The 25,592-nt window shown below is 42.0% G+C and overlaps 2 protein-coding genes and 1 long non-coding RNA gene across 15 annotated transcripts in view, besides 2 other annotated features; 2 read left to right on the top strand and 1 right to left on the bottom strand.

Annotated features, from left to right (window-relative positions):
- The window catches only part of GPR176 (G protein-coupled receptor 176), a 121,259-nt gene extending 113,750 nt beyond the window's left edge, over positions 1-7,509 (top strand). For 6 of the 8 annotated variants that reach the window (XM_017021878.3, NM_007223.3, NM_001271854.2 and 3 more), the window contains one exon: positions 4,263-7,509. In XM_017021878.3, the coding sequence (XP_016877367.1) occupies positions 4,327-5,385 (1,059 nt within the window). In that variant the 5' untranslated portion in view covers positions 4,263-4,326 and the 3' untranslated portion in view covers positions 5,386-7,509. Of the gene's footprint in view, positions 1-1,112; positions 1,298-1,906; positions 2,023-4,262 lie in introns of all 8 variants that reach the window. The other 2 variants (XM_024449835.2, XM_017021874.3) reach the window with 2 other exon arrangements.
- A 13,390-nt stretch (positions 7,510-20,899) lies between these two features.
- LOC105370941 (uncharacterized) lies at positions 20,900-23,611 on the bottom strand. Its single transcript, NR_135665.1, has one exon. It is a non-coding gene; the product is annotated as an uncharacterized LOC105370941 (long non-coding RNA).
- Positions 23,437-23,566: an enhancer, noted in NCBI's record as "active region_9217". NCBI's record gives its function as "activates an Ori minimal core promoter by ATAC-STARR-seq in GM12878 lymphoblastoid cells {active_cell/tissue: GM12878}" and the evidence as "EXISTENCE:reporter gene assay evidence [ECO:0000049][PMID:35858748]".
- FSIP1 (fibrous sheath interacting protein 1) overlaps positions 23,676-25,592 on the top strand; it is a 185,402-nt gene continuing 183,485 nt past the window's right edge. For 3 of the 6 annotated variants that reach the window (XM_011521305.4, NM_152597.5, XM_011521309.4), the window contains exon 1: positions 23,676-23,889. The gene's annotated coding sequence lies outside the window, so the exon portion shown is untranslated. Of the gene's footprint in view, positions 23,890-24,060; positions 24,561-25,592 lie in introns of those variants that run through there. The other 3 variants (NM_001324338.2, XM_047432212.1, XM_011521306.3) reach the window with 2 other exon arrangements.
- Positions 23,867-24,046: a silencer, noted in NCBI's record as "silent region_6312". NCBI's record gives its function as "represses an Ori minimal core promoter by ATAC-STARR-seq in GM12878 lymphoblastoid cells {active_cell/tissue: GM12878}" and the evidence as "EXISTENCE:reporter gene assay evidence [ECO:0000049][PMID:35858748]".

The raw sequence follows: 25,592 nt of genomic DNA, 5'->3' as shown, positions 1-25,592 counted from the left end.
CATATTGCAGTGGTGATTGCTTTCTCTTCCTATCCTCTTTAAAAAGATGTTCATTTGGAAGTGAACCTTACATCTTAGTTACTGCCATTCTACATAATTTTATCAATTTTATCAAAGTTGCATAAAGATCTCATAATCAGCAAATTCCTGCCTTTCTCCTTTCTAGCTAGTGCTTCATGAATACAGTTTAGATAATATTTTCTAGAGAATTGAATTAAGTAAGCAAACAAGAATTGAAAAGTATTTTATGTCCATGAGTACTTTTGATTTCAAGATTAACATAGAGGAAACGTTGCTGAAGGGAAAGTGCAGGCTATTCTGATTTTATGCCCTATGTTAAAATTTAACTACATTTTAGATTAATTTGAAAATTTAGAACTCTTTGTCCATTCAAAACATAATACCTTAATGACCTGTGAGGGTATTGATTGTAGAACCCATCTATAGAGTCATTTCAGCCTCTCAGGCCAGGGACCCTGATTTCTTCAGCTGCCTGGTGCTGTCTGCATGGAGGGACACAGAGTCACACGAAGCCCCCAGCATACTGGGAGAAGTCATTGCCATTGTGGTTAAGAGAATGGATGTTGGAATAGAAGCCTGGCTTTGAGTCCTGCCTACATAGCTTTCTAGCTGAGTGGCTTTGGGTAAAGCTGCTTAAACTTTCTGAGCCTCAGATTCCAGAGCAGTAGAAATAATTAAGTGAATTATTTATGGCCTGTGTTAGGATGGGCTGCACCAATATTTGCCTCTCTTTCTCAGGCTTCCCTTCTGATGGCACATTCTTCCTTAGATATATTTCTGCAATCATGTTACCATCAGATCTTGCTGGGAGCAGCTCCAGCTCCTTAGAAGGGACTGGAATCTCACCATCCATGGAGCCAAACAAGGCAGGTGACAAGTCAAGCAATAACCAGGTTGCAATTGTGGCACGTGGAGAGTGTGTCCACATTCTCGTTCATGGGGATCAGCCGCTCAGCAGTTGCAGCTAATAATTGCTTTGTAGGAATCTAGACTCGGTGGGCAGGACTTTTTTATTCTTTCAGAAGAGGAATAAAAAAATTTAGAATTCCATAATTTAAAAATGTTGGCAATTATTTTTTTTTTTCAAAAAGTATTATGTGGGTCATGTGAATCCCTTCAGCAAGATGAATGTGTGCCCTGAGATGCCAATTTGCCACGCCTGCTTTATGGTGACGTTGCATGTCTCTTCCATTGCTTTTTGAATATCTGGAAAGTGCCATTGCACAGGACTGGAATATAAGAGTGAAGTCAGAGTCCTTTCTCAAGAGTACTTCCGGTGGGTACACTAATGCATTTTATGTCGAACCATTTTGTGTTCAGTGTCCTTCTGAATGCCCCTGGTAGTACCTGCTGTGGTAAAGTCTTAAGTCTTCAGTTTGATATTCTGGACTGAGATATAATTTACATATTATAAAATTCACCTATTGGAAGTATACAAGTCAATGAATTTTAATATATTTATAGAATTGTACAGCCATCATCACAATATAATTTTAAAACATTTCTATTACCTCACAAAGAAACTTGTGCCCATTTACTTACAGTCACTCCTTGTGCCCATCCCCAGACCATAAACAACTATGAATCTACTCTCTTTTTCTATATGTTTGCTTTATTGGACATTACATGTAGGTGGAATCATACAGTGTGTGTTCTTTTGTGTCTGGCTTCTTTCACTCAGCATGTTTTCAAAGTTCATGTTATAGAATGTATCAGTACTTCATTCATTTTTCATGGCCAAATAATATATTCATTTAATTTTAGGAGTATACTAAATTTGTTTCTCCATTTACTAGTTGGTGGATATTTAGGTTGTTTCTACTTTTTGGATATTGTGAGTAATGCTGCTATGAATCCTGAAAGTTTTTTTTTTTTTTTAAATAAGACTCAACAAGGAGAATACATTATTCTGAACAGTTTGCTGTTATACCTGGAAGCAATGCAATAATCCCTGTGGGTTACTTCTGGGGCCTTGGTCTTAAACAAAGAAATACGAAAACAGTAAGAAATTCTCATTTTCTTTCCAGCAGAAAAGCTATTGTAAATTTATCATAATTTTAAAAAGTAAAACAAGTCCTTTTAGTAGGAAAACAGGGCTGGTGAATTCCTATTTTGTTATTCACAGATGCAAATTACTTACAAGCATCCACATGTACACCTGAAGAAGAGAAGACAGTCTTTTCTCTCACTTCCTTCATAGCTATTCATTTCATGGTACTAAGTCAGCAAGTTCATCGGGAGGTCATCTACACTTCTTGCATCACTGTTTAGAGGTGTACACACTAAGAACATTATTTATAGTGAGCCTGTGTGCTTATGTTGCAATCTGTTTCCCAACATGTAACGGGATTGGAAATTAATGGAAGCCTGGGTTTGTTACATGTCAGTGAGCAAATGGCAGTCAGAGCCAGTGAACTCCTAAGCATCTATTCATGTGTACAGGTGGGGCCATCACATATTTACTGAGTTGTCATTACAAAACTATCTACATTCAGAGAAAAAAAAATGTGAAAGCATGCATCACTTATGCACTTCTTTCTCTTTTTCCCTCCTCCCAGAAAGAAATCTAGAACATATCTTACCATGCTCCCTCCTTCCCTGATTGTCCATGGTCGCTATTGTGTTTGCATCCCATCTCTTTCAGCCTGGAATGTTCCCCTTCAGCTGGTCCCCCTGCCAGACTCCACTGCAGTGTCTCCCTCTCTTGCTATTTTCCCAGGTGGCTTTAGGCGCTACCTGTACCTCCTTTGTGCCTGCCTCTAGTAGAGCTGTCATCTCCTTGTTCGTAATTATTAGTGTGTGTATCTTTGTCCCCGTTGGGTTTAGAGACATTCCTGTGTCTTTTCATTCTTATAACCCAGTGCCAGGCACAGGACCTGGTGCATAGGTGGTGCTCAGAAGTACCTGTTACAGGAGGCTGGGCACGGTGGCTCACGTCTGTAATCCAACCACTTTGGGAGGCCGAGGCGGGTGGATCAGCTGAGGTTAGGAGTTCGAGACCAGCCTGGGCCAACATGGCGAAACTCCGTCTCTACTAAAAATACAAAAATTAGCCAGGCGTGGTAGTGCATGCCTGTAATCCCAGCTGCTCGAGAGACTGAGGCAGGAGAATGGCTTGAACCCAGAAGGCGAAGGTTGCAGTGAGCCTAGATCATGCCACTATACTCCAGCCTGGGCGACAGAGTGAGACTCTATCTCAAAAAAAAAAAAAAAAAAAAAAAAAAGAAGTACTTGTTATCTGAAAGCTTATGTGCTTACTTGCCCTATGAGTGAATGGGTGTCACTAAGGTTGTAAGGTCAACCCCAGCATTAACTGACTGCACAGATATGGCCAAGCAAATGTGAAGAAACTGACCATATCTCTGAGAGCTAGTGGCAGCCCTTTTACTACAGATGTGGTTCTAGGGTGCAAAGAGTTATTCAGTTCCCTCAAATCACTGGTGATATTGAAACGGCATGCTTTTGGAATTCTGTTTAGGTGCTTACAGAATGATCAAGTTAAATATTGGAAGGAAAAACAATGTCTCATCTGATTTTAACAAAAATCTAATTGTGCAGGCATTTTAGACCTATTAATTGCCCTTAGGGTTACTGAGTGATTATCATGGGAGCAATGACTGTTGAGCAGGCATAACTTTTGTCAGCTGAATTGATTTTTGTGGAAGGACCTTGTCGGAGTCCATTCTTCATACTGGTTCTTCTGCCCTGAACAACTTTAATTGTTAATGATATCTGGACTGTGGCATAAGTCTGCTTTAGATATGTGTGTAGACAAACTTATTTCTGTTGGTAGCTTTGAAAATTGCCCTAAAGCTTCTTTAGCCCATATAAAATTGTTTACCAATTACCCTTTACCCTCAAATTGAAAAGTAGATATCTTTATAGCAGATGGAGAAATCTTTTATATGGAGGGTACTGTTTGCGATTTCATCCTGGTAGCAATAATTATAAAGCTAGCTATGAATTGAAATTATTTACTTGTTTTCCTGTAAAGCCTCATGAGGACAGGTTTGCTGCTCCTTTGGAAAGGTTTTTATTTTTTGGTCTAGTGACGCTTCTTATTGTACTTGCAAAGTCCTCAAAACTTAGGTCTGGCTTCCTGGATTCCCCCAGTGCTTTTCTGTCTTAGGCCGAATAGAAGAACTTGACCTTTCTTCCCTCTCATCTACTTTTGGTGATTTAGGTTCCCCTAATTTAAAAAGTATCTTCTGTGGAATTAATTTTGTTTGTGTATCTTGCAGGTACTACTCAGTCCTCTATCCACTGGAGAGGAAAATATCTGATGCCAAGTCCCGTGAACTGGTGATGTACATCTGGGCCCATGCAGTGGTGGCCAGTGTCCCTGTGTTTGCAGTAACCAATGTGGCTGACATCTATGCCACGTCCACCTGCACGGAAGTCTGGAGCAACTCCTTGGGCCACCTGGTGTACGTTCTGGTGTATAACATCACCACGGTCATTGTGCCTGTGGTGGTGGTGTTCCTCTTCTTGATACTGATCCGACGGGCCCTGAGTGCCAGCCAGAAGAAGAAGGTCATCATAGCAGCGCTCCGGACCCCACAGAACACCATCTCTATTCCCTATGCCTCCCAGCGGGAGGCCGAGCTGCACGCCACCCTGCTCTCCATGGTGATGGTCTTCATCTTGTGTAGCGTGCCCTATGCCACCCTGGTCGTCTACCAGACTGTGCTCAATGTCCCTGACACTTCCGTCTTCTTGCTGCTCACTGCTGTTTGGCTGCCCAAAGTCTCCCTGCTGGCAAACCCTGTTCTCTTTCTTACTGTGAACAAATCTGTCCGCAAGTGCTTGATAGGGACCCTGGTGCAACTACACCACCGGTACAGTCGCCGTAATGTGGTCAGTACAGGGAGTGGCATGGCTGAGGCCAGCCTGGAACCCAGCATACGCTCGGGTAGCCAGCTCCTGGAGATGTTCCACATTGGGCAGCAGCAGATCTTTAAGCCCACAGAGGATGAGGAAGAGAGTGAGGCCAAGTACATTGGCTCAGCTGACTTCCAGGCCAAGGAGATATTTAGCACCTGCCTGGAGGGAGAGCAGGGGCCACAGTTTGCGCCCTCTGCCCCACCCCTGAGCACAGTGGACTCTGTATCCCAGGTGGCACCGGCAGCCCCTGTGGAACCTGAAACATTCCCTGATAAGTATTCCCTGCAGTTTGGCTTTGGGCCTTTTGAGTTGCCTCCTCAGTGGCTCTCAGAGACCCGAAACAGCAAGAAGCGGCTGCTTCCCCCCTTGGGCAACACCCCAGAAGAGCTGATCCAGACAAAGGTGCCCAAGGTAGGCAGGGTGGAGCGGAAGATGAGCAGAAACAATAAAGTGAGCATTTTTCCAAAGGTGGATTCCTAGCAAGGATTGTAAATTCTTGGAAGCAACGGGGAGCTTCCATATTCCCACCAGAGTGTGGGAATGCTGTGGCCATGTGATTGTATGATCTCCTTGCAACTCAGTGTGAGTTGATTCCTCCAATATGGGCCAGATGCTTTTGAATGATAGGGAAATCTACATAAAATCCAGTGTCCTCTTTATTGAGGGAGTATATGTATCCATCTCAGTGATCCATGTCCTTAGTGAAGTCCACATTATTCTCTGTGGGGACAAGAGCTGGGCAGTTTTGAATGGGTCTTGAGGTGGGTACCCCATGTGCACTTTCTGAGGATGCCTCACTTCCCTGGGCTCTGCAGAGAACACACAGAGAGAAGACTTTCAGAGCTCACAGGAGCAGGGAGCAGGAGCACTCTAAGGGAATTCCAAGATCATGATGGAGCATGGTGGCTCCAGAGAAAATGCCTGTTTGATGAACTTAAACATGTCAAACATTTTCTGTTGAGAAGGTAGGGATTTGGTGTCTTACACTGTTTCTCTGGAAGCCCCAGTCATATGACTCACTGTTTCTCCTGATACCCTTCGTCCCTTTCATTGGGATGTAGGTAAGGAATGACGATTCCTCACCTATGGTACACATGGCGATAGATGTGCCCGGGAGTAAGGGAGATATTTTGTCCTTGATAATTCTGATTTTCCCTTGGCATCACCAACGCCTCAGAGAGATACACCTGCACCCTCCAGTCAGGGTCAGTGTTGGCTGGAAAACACTGAAAAGTCTTCGCTCTGTCTTTCACCTTAAATTGTGTTTTCTCAACAAATGAGAGAGAAGCTTACGGGGGAGATGCCTGAGAGATGCCTATGGCGCTGTAGTTTTTTTTTCTTCCCTATGATCTCACATGAAAGGTGCTATGTAACAACCAGTATGAGTCAAATATATTGAAAAAATCATCTTATGCAAACTTTAGGAATTAAAAGGTATTTTTAAAATGGAGAGTTAGTGTAAGCTGGGTCCTTTGGAAACATCAAACTGAAAAGGCCTGATTTGGAAAGGTGACTCTGCCCAAAAGGTTGGCAAGAATCTGACAAAGATGGTTTCCTTCCGAGGAAGACTCCGGAACTCAGGTGTGGCCAGTCTCCTTTTCAGTCTGTTTGTACAGCTGCGGTTCTCTCTTAATTTTGGACACAGAGGAGGAACAGAACAGGGAGAAATAATCATTGTAGAGTGCCAAGGCAACATCTGACCCAGATGAGCTCTTCACTTCCTCCTTCCCTGTCGTTGTAGAGCCAGACTGGGTAGAAGAGGGAGGGCAGTGTCCTCAACTCATCAGCCTCACAAGCAATTTGGGACCCCTCTGGGGTGGATTTCACCAGGTTGAATTAGAACCGCAGATAATACTTCCCTGTTAGTGAGGACAAACCAAGCGCCAGCTCTGCCCTTTTCTCTAGAGTGTTGTGTTCTTGCTCTTGGTACTTACAGGAGCTAGTCTGGTGCCTTGAGCAAGCTTGAAGGGAAGTGGGTGTCCTCACCAGCAAACTTCCACATCTCAACTCGTGCCCTCTTTTGGCCACACTGGCCCCGTCTCTTGGAGGGAGCCCAGACCCTGTAGGGAGTTTTGTTTTCCTTTCTTCTCTTGGGTGTGGTGTCTTGTGTTTCTGAATGTGAACCCAAAGACCCTACCCCTGGAGAGGAAGCACCTTCCTCTTTGTGTTGGTCTCCTCATAGCACTGTTTGCTCACAGCAGAAACGGGGCTGCCACAGCCTCCTGCGGCTCTGCTGCCTTCTGGGCCCTGCGTGCATGGCATCTATAGCTCCTTGCCCTGATAGTCAATGCTGTGGCCCTTCAAGCTTGTCTTTCAAAGCTTTCACAATCATTACAACTTTTATCAAGGGGAATAATAATCTCTAGGAAAATTATGTCCACTTTAGGAGAATCTGTCAAGTGTAGCCACTTTGGTGTTGTTCTGATAATATACTGTATATGTACAACTTAATAAATTTTGATGAGGCAGAATCTGGTTGGGTATGTTTCTTATATATGTTTGAAGCAGATGGCTGACTACTAACAGGTCATTGCCAGGTGTATTTCTATACTCTTTGAAGAATAACATTTTAATAAAAAATTGAAAAGCAGTTTCTGAACTCAAGAAAAGTTTTATGAGCTATATTTTCTCCCCCTTTTCTCTCCCTCAAGTGATATACTGTTGGAACCTGTCTCTTCCTACATGGTCTCTGATGAAAGATATTCATTTTTTTTTTCTCATGAATGCAGATGTGGCATTTCAGTAGCATTTTCTTGTGTTGTTGCAACTAAAAGAAAATAAATTCCCTAAGGAGGAACTGCAACAGTTGAAAAAATATCACCAAGATGGGTTCCAGATTGAATTGGCGATAGACACCCAAATCTCTAGGCGGAGCTACACAAGGGAAGCCTGGAGTGCAGCCGTCATCATCCCTCCTGCGGGAGGTCAGGAGCACAGCAGTTAGGGCCATGAGCTTTGAGGTCAGATTGCCTGTGTTTAAATCCTGGCCCCACACTGACTAGCCTTGTGACCTTGGGAGGATGAAGTAACCTCCATGTACCTCAGTTCTCTCTCTGTAAAATGGGAGGATAATAATTGTGTCAGAAGCTTCTGTTGCCCCTTCTCACATATTTCACCTATGACTTTAGCTGTGTCTGCAGTGGGCTGTTGCTGGCGGCATCTACTCGCTTCCCTGCAAGCAGAGCTCCCTGTGTCTGGGAATAATCCTTGGCCTGTGGGGCATGGGAACCACTGGATAAATACCCCTGCTTCCTGTCCTGCTGGACAATTGTGGGAGGCCTCTGTCCAGTTCTCAAGAGGTCACTGACACAGAGTTAAGTCCCTGTGGCCCACCATGGCACTTCAATAATGCAGCCTTATATTGACTCTACTTTCTCCTTCTCTGACTCACTTTCTGCAGTCCTCATTCATGCCTCAAGGATCACCTCCCAAACATACTACCTGCACAAAGCCCTCATCTCAAGCTCTGTTTTCAGGGAGTCCAAGTGAGGCATAGAGCACCTGTTAGGATTAAATGAGATAATCTGTTTAACACAATGCCTGGCACAGAGTACAGCTATATCAGTGTTAGCACTTATACGTTACATAAAAAAATAAAGTGGCTAGGCAGCTTATGCGGAATATTCTTAGAAAACTGTAGGTCTTTTCCCCAGTTATTCTAACAGTAATTAATTTTCATAATGATGATACTTTGGGGTAATACATAATGCCAAGGGACTATTAGATTCCCTGAAGAAAAAATAACTCTGTAAGCCAGAGTATTTCTTAATTAGACAATTCTCAGTTGAAAAAAATAGGATGTTAAAAGAAGGTTCACCTTGGCCACTAACGTGTAGGCCATATCTGAATATGAATGCACTCAATGACCGTATCGAAGTAAGAACAGAGTAGAGTACATAGAGTATCTAAGGACAGATATGCAAATCCAAAGTGGCCCCATCTGTAGGAAAGAAACTGCAAGTTAGTTGGTGGGCTAAATGAACATCTGGAGCTCAAGCACCAGTCTGATTCATCTGAGGAGGAAAGCCACTGCTGCATCCCAGCTGGGTACTGCTGAGCTCTTGGCAGACCTGCCCGAGGTGAGGTGGCTCTGTGCATATGGAGCTGCTGCTACAGGTTGGATCAGAGATGCACAAGGAAAAAAGCTTATTACGGGCGGAATTGTGGTGGAGGGAAAGGGTTAATGCTTTCATAGTGTAGTGTACCAACGTCTCAACATACAGTGTCAATAATACCATAACATAGTGATGCACTTTCCCCAAATAGTTGTAAATATTTAGCAGATTTGTATCCCAACTAGTGTGCCACATTAGAGCTCTGTAACCAAAAGAGAAATGAGTCATGGTAAATAACCTGGGAATCTGTGAATAAAATAGGAATTGAAATAAGTATCAATGCCCAGGGCAGCATCAAAAGCCTTTTTGTGCAAGACGTATAAAATAAATGGAAATGAGCTTAGATTCTCCATACATGAGGTTTCAGAAGATAAAACAGCTCCCTTTTTCTTAGCCTCAGTTTCAACCCATGTTTTCCCCCATTTGTGCCAAAGGTATCAGTTGATCAGTAGAATAAAGGTTGGAAACCTGTATAGAAATGAAACTGTGATCTCCAGCATTGTTTATGCGAACCTCTATAGCACTTCATGTCCTGGGGATTCAGGGGCTTCTTATTGCCAGATTGAAATGAGTGAATGGTGAATGAATACATAAGAGATACAGCACCTGGAGCAGGGGTGCGGTCTCTGTCGTGTATGAGTGATGAAAGATTTGCTTTCAGTGGAGTTATTGCTGGCTCTTATTGATTTCCTTGGAATGACTCCTGCAGAGTTAAAAGGCATCAAACGCAAGGCCTTTGATCCATCTCCTTCAAATACCCAAGCCTCCTTTTAATGCACTAGGAGTGTAAGTTCCAAAGTTGGAGGGGAAGTTCAATACTGAGAAACGCAGTTCCAGGCATGTGTGTTGGGCTTGAAGAATAATTATTCATCAGCTATGTTGATCAGAACTTAGTGATGAAATCTTTCTGCCTCCCTTAAATTTCTCTTTATATGTGTATTCATTGCAGTCCATATACAAAATGTAATACACACACAAAGGAGTTACTAGAATAAACACGTGGTATACATTCTAAGGCAACAGGTGAGAAAATAGAACACACGGCATGATGCTCTTGCTATATTAACCATATTACCTGTGCATCTAACTTCTCTTCTCTCTTTGCCTGGCCCCTCTCATTCACATGCATTGCCTCAGGGGAGGGGACGAGGCTTTCATTGCCTCAAGGGAAAGCAGATATCCTTTGAATCTCTTCCTAGATTTGGGTCTCAAAACCTAGGTGTTAGGAGAACAGAGGGGACTCTTGGGGTTAGGCCAGTGAAGTTTTGGTCGTAATTGTCAAGGAGTGGGGCATGCTCCAGGCATCTACTGGGTAAAGGCCAGGAATGCTGTTAAATACCCTCTAATGCACAGGACAGCCCTCACAACAAAGAATTATCTGGTCCAAAATATCAGTAGTGCTAAGGTTGAGACACGCTGGGTTAGCCAAAAGTTTGAGGTGGTTTGAGGAGGGGGGGACCATCTCCCCAACCCTTACCTCTGTCCTCCATGCAAACCCAGGTTATTTATGGAGAAAACAGAAGAAATTTAAAGAGAGTTGTGTAGGTCATGAGACATCTGCTCGGTGGAAAAATGCAAGCCTGGCTGCTTTTCCTCAGCTGGATATCTGCTTCAGGGATGGGCTTGCTGATCGGCCCTCTGAATTTGGAGGTGTGAGAAAGGAATTGGAGAGAGATGACAGAGTAAACAGAGAGGGCATCCTGCACACCCATCATGTGGCATGGTGAGAATGGGTGATTTTCTCAATGTCAAGGAGACACCACAGAAACTCGACTTGAAAACTGGCCCCTGGCCAGACTTGGAGGAGGCTGTGGGTGGATGCTGAGAGGGGTTGAAAGTGGTCAGGCCGGCACTGTGTCTGGCACCAGAGATGTGTACACTGAGGGCCACATGCCACACCTCTGGAGATTCCCCACCAAGTACCAATGAGAGAACAATGGCTGCACCAATCAAGGAGAAGATGTTTCCTCCTTTTGCCCATCCTTCCTCCTAACTCCATGGAGGCAGAAGGGGGACCCGCGAGAGGAAACATCAAGCTATAGGAGGAGAGGATTCTCATCCACTCATGGTGAGTTCCTTGGGCTACAGATCAAGCCTGAGTTGGGGGAGAGGAAGAGCATTACATTAGGCATCATCGTGAACTTTAAAACTGGACCAGACTCTTCAATATCTGAAAGTAACCGTAGAGTACTAGGATCTCCCTGGGCTACAGTTAAGGAACAAGAAAGGAAGCTTCCTTGGATTAGTTACCAATTCTAAGTTCAGACTCTACAGTAAATCATGACGACAGTTAGGGGAGCCAGCCTTGGAATAAAGGTGACAAAGAGGACAGCACAGTACAGACAGGGCAACATGTACCTGATGATGTCACTCAGCTGCTAAGTCACATGTCTCTACCTTTGAACTTCCAGTTAATGTGAGACAATAAATTTCATGTTGTACACACAAGTTTGAGTCAAAGTTTTACAATTTTCTGCAGAAAGCACCCTCATCATACTTGATATGTGAGCTAATTTATTATTTGCAAAGAAGAACGCATCAGAAATTGCTCCTGTTTGGGGATACAATCTCAATAAAATAAAGTAATCTTCTAAAAAAATTCACTGTTTTCCTGCCTGGGATTTACCTTTTTATGCTGTATCTGAAGTTTTATATTGACTTAATGAAGAAAACCCCACAAAGGAACCATGTGTGGTTCCTGATAAGAAATGACTGATTGATTATACGTGTCTAATTCTATTTCTTCCTGAAATGCCACTAAAACCACATTTAAGGGGTTAAAAAGAAATGTCATAAATCCAGAAGGATGCAAGGAATAGGAGAGAAGACAAAGTGCTCTCTGGTTCCAGGTGAGTCTACAACAGCAACAAATTTTAGAAGCTGGAAAGCAGATGGAAGGTGGTAACTGACTGGGCAGCAGACTTAAGAACTTCCCTGGAGCTTTTTTTCCTCTCTTTTTTTCTTTTCTTTTCTTTTGTGTCCTTTGGATCTTCATTTTTAAGGGAAAGAAACATTTTCTACTATCTCGCTGAGGATATTAAGGATAATTCTTCTCTATGGGTTTGTCTTAGTTTCCAGTTTTTTTGCAAGAGGTTTATTTTATTTTTTTGCCTGACAGTAATAATTCTTAGCTAAGGTATTGGCTTCTCTAGGTGACTTTGATATGAAAGCTCAGGTTGGGGAGGTTGATGGCTGTTTGAGAAGTAATTAGAGCCCTGGCTAGATCTGCTGTTGGTGCCACACTGCTGGGCCAGCTGCCTCTCCTTAGTCCAGCTTCCCCACTACCCTGCACTTCCATATCTTCTCCCCACACTCCATTCCCAATGCCCTTCCAGTCAGGACTTTACCTTCCTAAGGATTGGAAGTATTGCACAAGAGAGCAATATCCTCCCCTACCATGACAGGGGGCCAAATCAAATTATGCTCAAAATGTGTGACGCGAAACAGAGTAGAATGTGAGTTATTCAGAAATATGGGGATGTGTGATGACTGCCAGAAGAGGCGGCTAAAATTATCGCAGGTCCTTTTCTCTGGGACTGTTATTGTTTGTTTTGTTTTAAGACTTTTAGTTATATTTTAAAACAGTCTACGTGTATTATTTTGATAAGAATACACATTAATGTTAAAAGTCTTCTGAATTTTGCAAGGCTCCATCAGACTAAACAAAAGAAAAAAGAAGAAACAATATACATCATTAGAGGAAATTTAGAAAATGAGGCAATTTAGGCTGTCAGGGTCAGAGAAACTGATGGCTTTTGCTGATATACTCAAATCATGTCAGATGTACTCAGATAATACCTTTGGCTTGGCTGTATGAACTAGGCAATCATGGGCTACAATGAATTCTACTTTTCTCCCCATATCTTCTCTATAGCCAAGAAGAAAGATTTCTTCTTTCTTCTTCTGTGTATTTTTACAGTGCTTTTAAGGATTATTGCTACTTTGTTATATAGATTTAATTTAAGTAATGCTGGTTTGCTTTAGAAATTAATTTAGAACCCACAAAATATTTTGGATTAATATGTCTAAGATATTGAGTTTAATGAGTCAAAGCATCCTAGGATTTGTTTATGTATTTATAATTTATGTTCTCATCTACTTTTAAAAAATCTAAAGTGTATGCAATACAGGTACCTTTGCATCAACCAAAGGTCAGTAGAATATTACTTAGAAGTTCTTAATTCATTTTAATTTATAATACTCTGTCTTAAAGTTTATTCCCTTGGTAATATTTGGCTTCTTATTGTCTGCTTTATATTTAGATATGATGTTTCACCGGAGGATATTAAAGCACAGTCCACGGGCTTTCTGTAGGAAATGATACAATCTCTTTTTTGCAGATGGGGAAACTAGAGACACAGATGGCCACGTCATTAGCCCTAAGAGACGAAGCAAGTTAGAGACAGAGCTAAAAACAGTAGAGAAGGCATTAAAGCCCAATTCTTCCACAGCACCCTCTAAAGTACTGATGATCATTATCATCTATCATTATCATAACTATTTTTTGAATACCCACTTGGCACATATCATTAAAATGTACTGGGGACTAGATGAAAATCCTTGATGCTTGGCAGCTGTTTTGCTCAATGTTATTTTCCAAATTTACTTCTTCTCCCTCATGATTTCCCCTGTTTTGCTGTAGAGGCATTCAGTTTAAAATAAATGTTAAGATACTCTTGAAGGAATGCCAAGACTGAGGTCGCTCTGCGGAGAGCACTCAGAGGCATCTTCTTATGTCCTGTGTCCTCCATGTTAATATCTTCGCTTTTTTTTTTTTTTTCTGAGACTTTTAAACATGAGCAGACAGCCAAGGATGACCAGTCCTCTGAGGAAAGTATCTAACATACAGGCAGATGCCAAAACAAACATACAAGAAAAAAAATTGGGGGGAAAAACAGGATATACAAAAAGAAGATAACTTAAAAAAAACAACAACCCATTCTTAATCTCCTCAGGGAGATATAAGAAGATGTTATATGGCCTTAAAAGGACATTCAAAGGGTCCTTCAGAGGGCCTCACTCTGTCACCAAGGCTGGAGTGCAGTGGCACCATCATAGTTCACTGCAACCTCAAACTTCTGGGCTCAAGGGATAATTTTAAAGAACTTTTTTGTAGAGACAGGGTCTTGCTGTGTTGCTCAGGCTGGTCTTGAACTCCTGGGCTCAAGCGATCCTCCCACCTCCCCCTCCCAAAGTGCTGGATTATAGGAGTGAGCCACTGTGCCTGGCCCTCCTTGTTAATTCTGCACTGAGTTTACTTAACTTTAAAAGTTTCTGCCATCGAATCACTTTCACCCATTGCCCACATTCCTGAGAGTCACTTGATACTCTTCCCTGTAAGGACATGAAACATTAACAAGATTCATTCATTCATAGCAGTAAATATTATTGCATTTAATACATGCTATTGTAATGGAATATAAAGTGTTCAAGATATGGTCCCTGCTCTCCAGTGCTTTCTTTTGATGAATGACAAGTCTTTCTTAAATTCAAAAGATTTCTTTCACCATAAAATTCTCATTTACTTTATATAGTGATAACATTTTGAATTCGGAAAATTTTAGCCTAGTCATATGCCACCCCTGTAATTTAATATAAAGAAATTGAGGTCCAGGAAATTAAGTGCTTTGTCCAAGACTATGGATCAGAACTTATGATTCTTTTTAAATTTTTTATTTTTTTAACTTTTAAGTTCAGAGGTACATGTGCAAGATGCGCAGTTTGTTACGTAGGTAAATGTGTATCACAGGGGTTGGTTGTACGGAGTATTTCATCACCCAGGTATTAAGCCTCGTAACATTGGTTATATTTTCTGCTTTTCTCCCTCTCCCACCCTCCACCCTCCGATAGGCCCCAGTGTGTGTCTTTCCCCTCTGTGTGTCCGTGTGTTCTCATCATTTAGCTCCCACTTACAAGTGAGAACATGTGGTATTTGGTTTTCTTCAGAACTCATGATTTTTTTTTTTTTTTTTTTTTTTTGAGACGGAGTCTCGCTCTGTCGCCCAGGCTGGACTGCAGTGGCGCGATCTCGGCTCACTGCAAGCTCCGCCTCCCGTGTTCACGCCATTCTCCTGCCTCAGCCTCCCGAGTAGCTGGGACTACAGGCGCCCGCCACCACGCCCGGCTAATTTTTTTGTATTTTTAGTAGAGACGGGGTTTCACCGTGTTAGCCAGGATGGTCTCGATCTCCTGACCTCGTGATCTGCCCGCCTTGGCCTCCCAAAGTGCTGGGATTACAGGCGTGAGCCACCGCGCCCGGCCTGAATTAATAATTTTTAAAAATGCCTACTCCATAAGCAAATTATGGAGGACAGAAACCACTGCTTTTAAATGTCTTTTTCATGATGAAATATAAGTAATTCAGTAGATAGTAGGTTGAGAAATAAAGAAATATTTCCTTAATTAAGGCCTTCCATTTCTTCCCCTGCTAACTATTGTGAAGGGGTAACTATTGCATAGTTAGTACCTAGAAATCCCCCTGACTTCCAACACTTTTTATCTCAAAGGAATGGAGGTGAGGAGTTGGAGAAGATTCATGTGACCATCTTGTTCCTATCCCTGTCAGAATCTCTGAGCAATTAGGCATGATTAGAGAAATGCTGAAAAGTTCACTTGCCCAGAAATAGTTCGCTAGAGGTTTTTTGGTTTTTTTTCTTTTTTTTTTTGAGACGGAGTGTTGCTCTGTCGCCCAGGCTGGAGTGTAGTGGCGCAATCTCCGCTCACTGCAACCTCCGCCTCCCGGGTTCACGCCATTCTCCTGCCTCAGCCTCCTGAGTAGCTGGGACTACAGGCGCCCACCACCACGCCCGCTAATTTTTTGTATTTTTTAGTAGAGACGGGGTTTCACCGTGTTAGCCAGGATGGTCTAGATCTCCTGACCTCGTGATCCGCCCGCCTCTGCCTCCCAAAGTGCTGGGATTACAGGCGTGAGCCACCGTGCCCGGCCCTCGCTAGAGGATTTAACTCAGAAAAAATGACCAATGAATGATAGAAAATTGAATGCATGGATGCAAGTGTCCACCCGAATGCAAAATTCTCACAAATTTGGGTCCAGGTAATGATCTCTAGATTCATTTAAAAAATTGTTGGCAATTTTCACCAAAATACCATCATCTGTAGCAAGCTATACAAGATAGATGAGCATTTAATGCACACCAGATATGAATTGAACCTGATAATTCATCTGCTTTTCTTTCATTCTCCAGCATGGATTGGATGGTTGCTGTTATTTGACATGAAAATACTCATTTTATTAACAAGTGCAATGAAAAATTCAGTATAGTGTCTCAAGAACATATTAATTTCTCTATTTCAACAAAATAAGGAACAGTGCTAGAGAGTTATCTTCCCATTGTTTGACAGATAGGCTGGTAAACTGAAGTCTGCAGAGGTGAAGAGGCTTGCCGTTCCATAACAGAGGTGGGATACATATGCAACTCTCATAAAACCTAAACAAATTCTGTTCTATTGCATCGTTCTATAAAAATAGGGCACTTCTCTTGTGGTTTTGCTTGCTTAATTCTTTGTTCGACAATTGCAGGGACAAGACAGATGGTTGTTACCATTACCCAGATGTTTCTAAACAAGTAATTCTTGCTGCCATGCACGTTGAGCAGATGCCTTTTACATTGTTATGAATGTTGGGTTGAGAAGCAGGTCATTTCCAAAGAGAGCAGAGACTGCTTAAATCAGAAAATCACAGGGTCTCAGAGCTGGAAGTAGTGGTAGAAACCTTTATCTACCTCTTATTTACTAGACAAAGAAACTGAGGTGGAAAGAGGTTAAGAGACTAGGCCCAGGCCACACTGTTCTTGGCAAAGACAGGACAGAAAATCCAGAGATGTGTATTTTAAAATGTGTGTCAGTGATGAATTACAAAAATATAAAACATCACAAATTTTGAACAAAATTAAAGCACTAATTTTAGTTTGCCTATTATGGCAAAATAAGGGGAAAATAAGCCAGCTTCTATTAAGAAAGGAGTTTGGATGATCAAATTTTAAAAATGTAAACAAGAAAACCAAGTCTTCAAAATGATGACTAGTTCCTAGTGTAATAAACACTGTATGTTCAGATAGAAACATTACTTTGGATTCCAGCTAAGAAAAAGATTGTGTAAGAAATAAAGTGAGAAGCTAAGAATGCCAGGATGAGACTTAAACATTGTGGCAGCCTGACCCATGACTGATGAACAAACCCCTGGGGTGGTTTACTTCTTATTTCTTTATGTCTGAGATGTTAACTCTGAGAAAAATCATTTCCTTACCTTGCTGCTTAACACCCTAAATATTTGATTTGAATGTTTCTAATATGGCATCTTAATTATTTTAGCTTCCTTTATTTTTTGTTAAAATATGTACAAAGGTTTACATAATAATGAAGGCTTACATAACTATATACTAAAGCTTCATTTTAGTATTGTAGGAAAACGGCCTGTTGCATAGCAAGATGACCAATGTGTTCCTGTAGCATAGATAAACTCTCATAGAGATGCTTATCTAACCACCCCAGGGGTCATGAGTTTTGCAAGAAGGCCTGAGGCATGACTGGCTGCACATCTTTCCCTAAAATCTTGCTATATAAAAGATGCTTTCTGGAGGGCAGTTGCGGGGATCCACTGTCTCTCTGGCCGCCAGAGACATGGCTTCTGTTTGTAAGCCCTTATTGAATGTTTCTTTCTGAGAAACTGGACTTGTCAGCTTCTTTCATTGGCCTCTCAGCTTCCTTGGCCTTTGGGGGTAGGTTTGCATAGACCTGCTTACCTCAACCAAGTACACAGATCAGGAGATCCAATTTAAAACAACAAACTAACAAACCCCTATGGGATCAGAGAGACCAAGCTCAATACTGAAGTTAGGTTTTGGACTCAGAGACAAGCTTACCTGTAGGTTGAAAGCATGAAGCATGAAACCCAATGCATGGGCAATGTTCAGAATCTGTTGGTTTCAGCCCAGGATTGATAGTTGCAGTGCAATTTCAGCCATTATGCGCAAGCAGTGTCACATCCATTCAGCTGACAGGGGCGAGACACTAATCTCAGTGGGCATCCAGCAACTGAAACTGCAGCTGGCCTTGGGAAGTTTCTGCCAACTCTTTAAATCTTTACAGGTACAGAGTTGCTGCGGGTGACCAAACTTTGTAGCCAGTAAGATCATGAGAAAGTTAAGCAGTCTGTTACTTTGAGGGAATTTCCTTAGAAAAGAAGAGAAACCGATTTTTTTCTCCTTTCTGGTGAGAATGACTCACTTGGCAGAGCTGATTGCTTTAGGGCCCACTTGACATGACACCTTCCCCCTGCAAATGACTCTGGATATTATAACATACCTTCGTTTTCATTGATTTACTTTACTATCTTTAAAAACAACCCTCTAGGCCAGAAACATGTAGCTGCACTGCTATGTGTGTGTGTGTGTGTGTATGTGTGCACTGATTTTTACACAATTTCACAATGTCCTGGAAGTTTGTGGCCCCCTAGGTTGACATTCGGATCGCTCGAGCCAGTTGAATAGTTATATGACAATACATGATCTAACTTCTTTAACTGAAAACAAACCTAAAGTCATCACTGTTTTTGGACCAATAGGCATTGAGAAGTTGTAAGCTTGATCTTTTAAAAAATGGAGACATCCACTGACCAGCAGCTAATTCTGTGCAGCACTCCACAGCAGACAGGGAGAGGAGGGAAAGAGTTCTACAGGGAGAGCATTTTTCAGTCTCTAGCCTGCTGTTTACAAAGGAAGTGCTGGATGTCACTGTTCACAGCCTCCGTGTAGAACAGCTGCAGGGGGCTCCATGGTGCCTCCAGGAGCAATGTCCTCACCACTATTTACCCTCTAAAACATTAACTTGAAGTCAGTGGTTCATCTGTACCACAAGCACCAAGGGACTTGTTAAAAATGCAGATTCCTGGTCTGCATTCCAGACCCACTGAATCATGTAATAGGGACTAGAATCAATATTTTAAATAACACCTGAACTGATCCTTCTCAACAACAAAATCTGACAACCCATTTGAATCGGGTTTATTTCACAGCTTTTAAGTTCTAAAAAATGTACTAAAATAAGGTACTAAGCACATATGAAACATATACTTAACATGTATTTTACTTTCAATAATAATAGCATTAAGCCTGGGCAACATAGGGAGACCTCACCTCTACAAAAAAAAAAAAAAAAATTCAACCGGGCATGGTGTTGCATGCCTGTAGTCCCAGCTACTCATGAGGCTGAGGTGGGAGGTTGCTTGAACCTGGGAAGTTGAGGCTGCAGTGAGCCATGATCATTGTGCTACTGCACTCCAGCCTGGGTGAAAGAGCATGACTTTATCTCAAAAAAAAAAAAAAAAAAGAAAAAGAAAAAAGTGTTACCTGTTCCAGAATCTGATTGTTGTTTTTTTCAGGCTTTATTTACTTCCCTGTTCATGACCCTTGCTGGCATGGATGGCATTGTGGCCAAGCAGGATTGGGAGATGCTGGAGGGAGTACAGTTGGTATAAAAGGGGTACATGGAATAAAACATGTATTTCTTCTTAAGTCTACTGATTTAATGTAAATACAGATGTATGAGAATTTTCAGAGTCTCAAAGTCACCATGGTTTTTTGATATTATTTATAGGTACTAACATTTTAAAAAATGCAGTTTTTTTGAGATCAAATTTTCACTTTTCCTATTTGGGTGGCTATTTAAAGATGCATCCAGGCACAATTCAGACATACAAGATACTTCAGTTCAGTGGTTTCTTGAATTACACCTAAAATCCAAAGGAACGTGTTTCTGAAAGTGGCTGCCAATTTTTTTTTTTAAGAGGACAATCAGCACCATCTAGTGGACACAAATATCTCCTCTTCTAGAATTCGGACCCCTGAGGAGATGGAGGGCAGGCTTTGGAACCTAGGTTGGAATCCCGGTGCCAGTTAGTTCCCCAACGACCTTGGGACAATTACTTACCCTTTAGGTGCTCTGCTTCTCAACTCTAAATCCAGGTAATACTAGTGCCGACTCATAGAATGTTATGAATGAAGTGAAATGATGCTTGGAAGGCAAGTCTGAAACACTTTGTAAATGCAGTTTTTCAATAACACTAAGCATAGATTCACAGGACATGGGAACTATCCAGTGGTAAACACTATTATCTGCTCTCCAGTAGGAATGGCTATTATACACAAAATCCAGTGTGTAGAATCTACGATATGAGGCTTAATGAGATCCCTCTCCTACCATATTGTTACATTCGGTTGAAGTTTATGGTGAGGAAAGGGCAACCGGGGCAACAAGGCTGAAATGGTAGTTGGTGCCCAGATGGCAAACAATGCTCTTGCTCGCTTTCATTCATTCAAATCTGACTCCACTCGGAAGGAGGATGTCAAGAGTAGGGAGAGACTGCAAACAAAAACAAAAGCTAACTCCGAAACTAACACTGCCACTGCCATATGTCACCAACCTGGAATGAGACCAGGGAAATTTTAGCTTCAAATATCTTGACTCTAGAAGAAATTTTTATGAATGACTTTGAAGGGCACAACACTTTCCAGGATGTGTTTGCGATTTTTGAAAATGGAACTGCAGAAAACACAGTATAGACATTTGGTGCTCTCGGACTTATATCCCCGTGCTGTTTTGAGGGTGTCACCTGCAATAGCTGACACAGAAGTATCTGGGGAAATTAAAAACAAATACACAACAAATGCAATTTATTAAAGCTGGCCCTTAAGGCACACACAGCCTCTCGGCAGTTTACAAAATGGAAGCAGCAGGAGGTAAATAAACACGTGAGAGTGACACAGAGACAAAACAATTCAAAATGAGATAAATAGTTTTATGCAAATATAGTCAATAGGGACTTAGTCTGGAAAGGTTACAAACAGTGAAGAGACACAAAGTTTACGTGGAACCCGAATTTTATTTTCACTTGCTTTATATGCATCTTATGTTGCATTTTAAAAACAACAGTTAAAAAAATGAAAACAGCAGTAATCATAGGTCCGCTTTTTCTTAGTTCAGCCCCTTCCCCCCCCGAGAAATTGGGAAGGTATTGTTTTCTTAGTGGACACTATTAGTCACCAAATTAAAAACTGGAAAGAATGGCCTTCGTTTATGGTGTATGAGAACCGTGCAGGCACTTGGCAATGATCTCGTCTTGCCGCTAGGTAAACAGCGGTCGGTGGACGGGGAGCATTGGCATCATCTAGGAGCCTGTTAGTCTCAGGTCTCACCTGATACTGAATCAACATTTTTTTTTTTGAATCAGCATTTTTAACAAGATTCCTCGGTGATTTGTCTGCACATTAAAGTTGAGAAGGCCTAGATTCATTTGATCTCAGGTACACCCCTGGTTGTGTAGTTTATGAAGTCTCCCCAGGTGATTCTAATGCTCTGTGCAGTTAAGCACTGCAAAACTAGTCCAACTTCATTTTTCAAATGAAGAAACTGTGGCCCACAAAAGCTTATGTATTTACCTAAGATAACCTAGCTGTTTAATATCAAAATCCAAATAATGTCATCTCTCTTCTTCATAAAAAAATAAAGCAGGGTTGAGGGGACAGAGGGTAGGGAGTGTGGAGATGGGGATAATTATTTTATACAGGGTGGTTGGGAAAGGCCCTCCTGAGGAAGCGGACGCCTGAGGAAAGAGAGGAGCAAACCAGGTGGATAGCTGGGAAACTGTATTTCAGGCTGGTGTGTGTGTGTGTGTATTTGGACTGGAGGAACAACAAGTGTTTCCAAATTCCTGACAGATACTGATCTTTGGGATGCAGAAACAGGAAATCAGAATTACCAGCTGTTCTCAAAATCTTATTCTTAAAATATTCTCTACCTTCTTCATATTCTTTACTCATTATTACAAGTATCTGAAGCCTTTGTTTAAAAAATGAGAACTATTAAATTTAGAAGTGTTTACAAGAAGTGGGGTTTATAGCAAATATTCAAATGCTGGAAAACACAGAGAACATTATTGAGGAGTATTCAAATAATAGATCTCCTAGCAGGGTTAACTGTACTACCCAGAATCATGGGTTGGAAACTGTCAATTTAAGGATTTACTTTGAATCCAAAACCCGTTACTTTTTTGAACACTGCTCATAGAATTTGTATAAAGTATACAATGAGTATCAACCTATTTATATTTTATTTGCAAGAATGACTCACTGCCAGCGGCACACAGGGCCAGGAACATAGGCTTTCATGGCACCAACTACAAACAAGACTGACTGATGAGATTGTGGCCATGTCTCTCCCAAGTGCTCCTGACCTGGTTCCTGAAAATGTTCACCTCAACCTCGAACTCAGCATTTCCTGTGCTGGTTTTCAACTTGACATTGGTGAATTTCTTCAGTAACATCTCTAGGTCGGCTGCTAAGTTTTAATTCTCATAGGAGGATTAGGATACTTTCTCCCATTTTCTTCAGTTTGCAACTTTTTTTCTTTTGAGATTTGGAAAGCCACATAAATTCCCTGAGAAATGCTGGGAAGAAATCCCTGCACAGAAACACTAACAATGAGGACAGTGAGGCTGGAACCAGGTTTACCAGGGGAAAGCAGTAGGTAGGAGTGGAGGTCAGAGAGCCAACAGAAAGCCTTATCATTTAGAGATGATGTCAGTATGAACCTGAATGGAAGCACTGAAGTTGTGACGAATGTTTGGATTCTGAATATATTTTGAATGTTGAGCTGATAGGACAAATAGATTGTAGAGTGAGAGAGGAAGAAGAATTGAGGATGACTCCAAGGTTTTTGGTCTAGGCATGGCAGGCTGAAATTACCATTTGCTGAGATGGATAGAAAGTGGGTGGGGGACTCTGGAGAAGTTGTTTTTTCCCGTGTTAAGTTTGAGATGCTTACACATCTAAGTGGATATGCCAAATAGGCAGTTAGGTAAAGGAGTCTGGAGTTCAGGGAAGTCTGGGCTGGTGATAAGATGCAGGATTCAGGAGCATAGGGATGGCATTTATAGCCAGGTTTTTATACCCAGCACTCGCCTAGACTGCAGCTGTGTTCTTTCGGCAACTCAGCCTACGACTATTTGCTTCGCTGAAAAAAAACCACATCGTACCTAGTTAAAACAATGAGGACAAAGGGGCCATGAATGTGAAAATGCCCTGTAAACGGTAATGTGCTGTTCAGACTGGAAAGCAGGAGAAATGATGGCAATGGAGGTGAGGAAAATCAGTTTGTGGACGTAGGGAAATAATTTTCGTGCACTGAGAATTAGAGAAACTACGAAATGAAAGAAGGTGCAAAAAGCAATTATAACTCTTTTTGGACTGTAGCCGAATCTGTGCAAAACTCATATTTTTAAAATTTCCATAGCACCCCAAATTTACTAGAGCTTCACATACATGGTCTTTTTGAGCTGCACAAGTCTTGTAAGAAGGGAATTATTATTGTTCCCATTTTACGGAGGAGGAAACTGTGCTCGGAGAGGATAACTGACCTGTAAGGCATCACAGCAATATGAGGGACAGAGATACACAAGCATCCAGACGTCCGCGTTCCGAATCCAACCTAAAGACGAAAAATCGCTCCCAACCCCCACCGTCGGCAGCGAAGACGGAAGGACACACGCCGGCCGTCCCAGCTCGCAGGGCTCCAACAGCCGCCGGCCCCGGTCCCATTTCCGGATGGTACAGCCCTTTCCGCTATCGCGAGACCGGAAGCATCGCGCATCTGGTTGCCAGGGAAACAGCGGTCCCACAGGCAGGAGGGATCTGGACCGGCGGCTTCTTCCACTACCAGAGAGGCTGAGGTGGCGGGAGAGACCCCTCTCCTCTGGGGGTAAGTGGCTGGCGCGGCGAGTGTCTGCGGCGCGCTTCTGCGGCCATCTGCGCCCTGACTGACGGCGGCCAGTTCCTCGAGGAGGCCCGGCGGGAAGGTGAGGGGCCGCGCAGATGAGGGCGGAGCTCGGTCGCGGGGCGGTGCGCCGAGGAGTGGGCGGGGCGGAGCTGCGTCGGGCCGCTTGGCATGTAGATGGACTGTCAGGGAGAGCGGACAGGGCCAATGAGAGGGCGGGGGCGGGCTCATTGGGGGCGGGGCCCCAGCGGCTTCTGCCTCCGCGGAGGCTATTTCTCCAGGAATCACCTAACATTAGGACCTGTAACCAAGGCTTCTACTTTCCCGAGATTTGGATCTTCCCACCAAGATCTAGAACTGATCACCAGCCATTTAAACTAGACCGTAAACGGCAAAGGATGCAAATAGGCATTTCACAGGAAAAATAAAAAGATGCAAACAGCAAACAATTGATTAGAGACTCAACTTTTCTCGTGAAGAAATGTAAACCAAATTCACAGATACCTTTTACACCTATGAGACTGGAGAAGATGAAACAGCTTTGACATAACCAGATGGGCCCCAGCCCAGTGTAGGGGAAGTAGTGTAATTTGGTGCAGCCTTTTTGGAGTACAATTTGGCGAACTACCAAAATTTGAAACATAAGTGTTCTTTGACTCAGCAATTCTAATATATTTTATGGATGTATGAGCATAACTAAAGAAAGATTGGCACAAATATATTAACTTAAAATTGAGGTATAACTTACTTATGGTAAGCCTCACCCATTTAATCTACAGTTCTGTGAGTTTTGACAAATGTATACAGTTATGTAATTACCAACCACCACAATCAGCATACGGAAGTTTCATCATGAACCCCAAATTCCCTAGTGCTCTTTGTATTTAATCCCTCCCCTAACGCCATCCCTGGCAACAACTTCCTAGTTTTTTGTTCCTGTAATTTTGCCTATTCCAGAATGTCATATTGATGGAAGCAAACACCCTGTGGCCTTTTGAATCAGGCTTCTTTCAGCTTAGCATCATGCAGTTGCTATTCATTCATGTTCTGTGTATCAGTTGTTCCTTTATGTTGCTGAGTAATAGTCCATTGTATGGATCTACGGTAGTATATTTATCCATTTCCTACTTGAGGCATATTTGGATGAGTTCTTTCCAGTTGTTGGCTATTATTGATGAAGCTGGTATAAATATTCATGTACAGGTTTTTTTTTGTGTGTGTGAATATGTTTTCATTTCTTGGGTAAATATGAATGAGATTGTGGAGTCATATGGTAAATATATGTTTAACTTTATAAGAAACTGCTAAGCAGTTTTGAAAAGTGATGATTTTGCATTGTCATTGGCAATATGAGTGTTACAGTTGCTCTCCAACTTTGTCAGCACTTGGTATTGTCAGTTTTCTAAAAAATTAATTTTTGTCATTTGAATAGGTGTGTAGTGGTATCTCATTGTGATTTTTATTTTATTTTTTTGAGGGGTAATGATGTTGAACATCTTTTCATGTGCTCTTTTGCCATCCGTACATCATCTGGGGTGATGTGTGTGTCCAAATCCTTTGTTTTCTTGTTATTGAGTCTTGATACTTGTTTATATATTCTGGATATGAGTCCTTTGTCAGATATGTGTTTTGCAAATATTTGCTCCTAGTCTTTGGGTTTTGTTTTCCTTGTCTTAACATCTTTTGAAGACTACAAGTTTTAAATTTTGATGCCTTCCAATTTATCCATATTTTCTTTTATGAATCATGCCTTTGATGTTGTATCTAAGAAATTTTTGCCTAACC

This window comes from Homo sapiens, chromosome 15 (genome assembly GCF_000001405.40).
Source record: "Homo sapiens chromosome 15, GRCh38.p14 Primary Assembly".
In the NCBI taxonomy this organism is placed as follows: domain Eukaryota; kingdom Metazoa; phylum Chordata; class Mammalia; order Primates; family Hominidae; genus Homo; species Homo sapiens.
The sequence above is the reverse complement of the archived record's forward strand: the minus strand, read 5'-3'. Positions and strand labels throughout refer to the sequence as shown.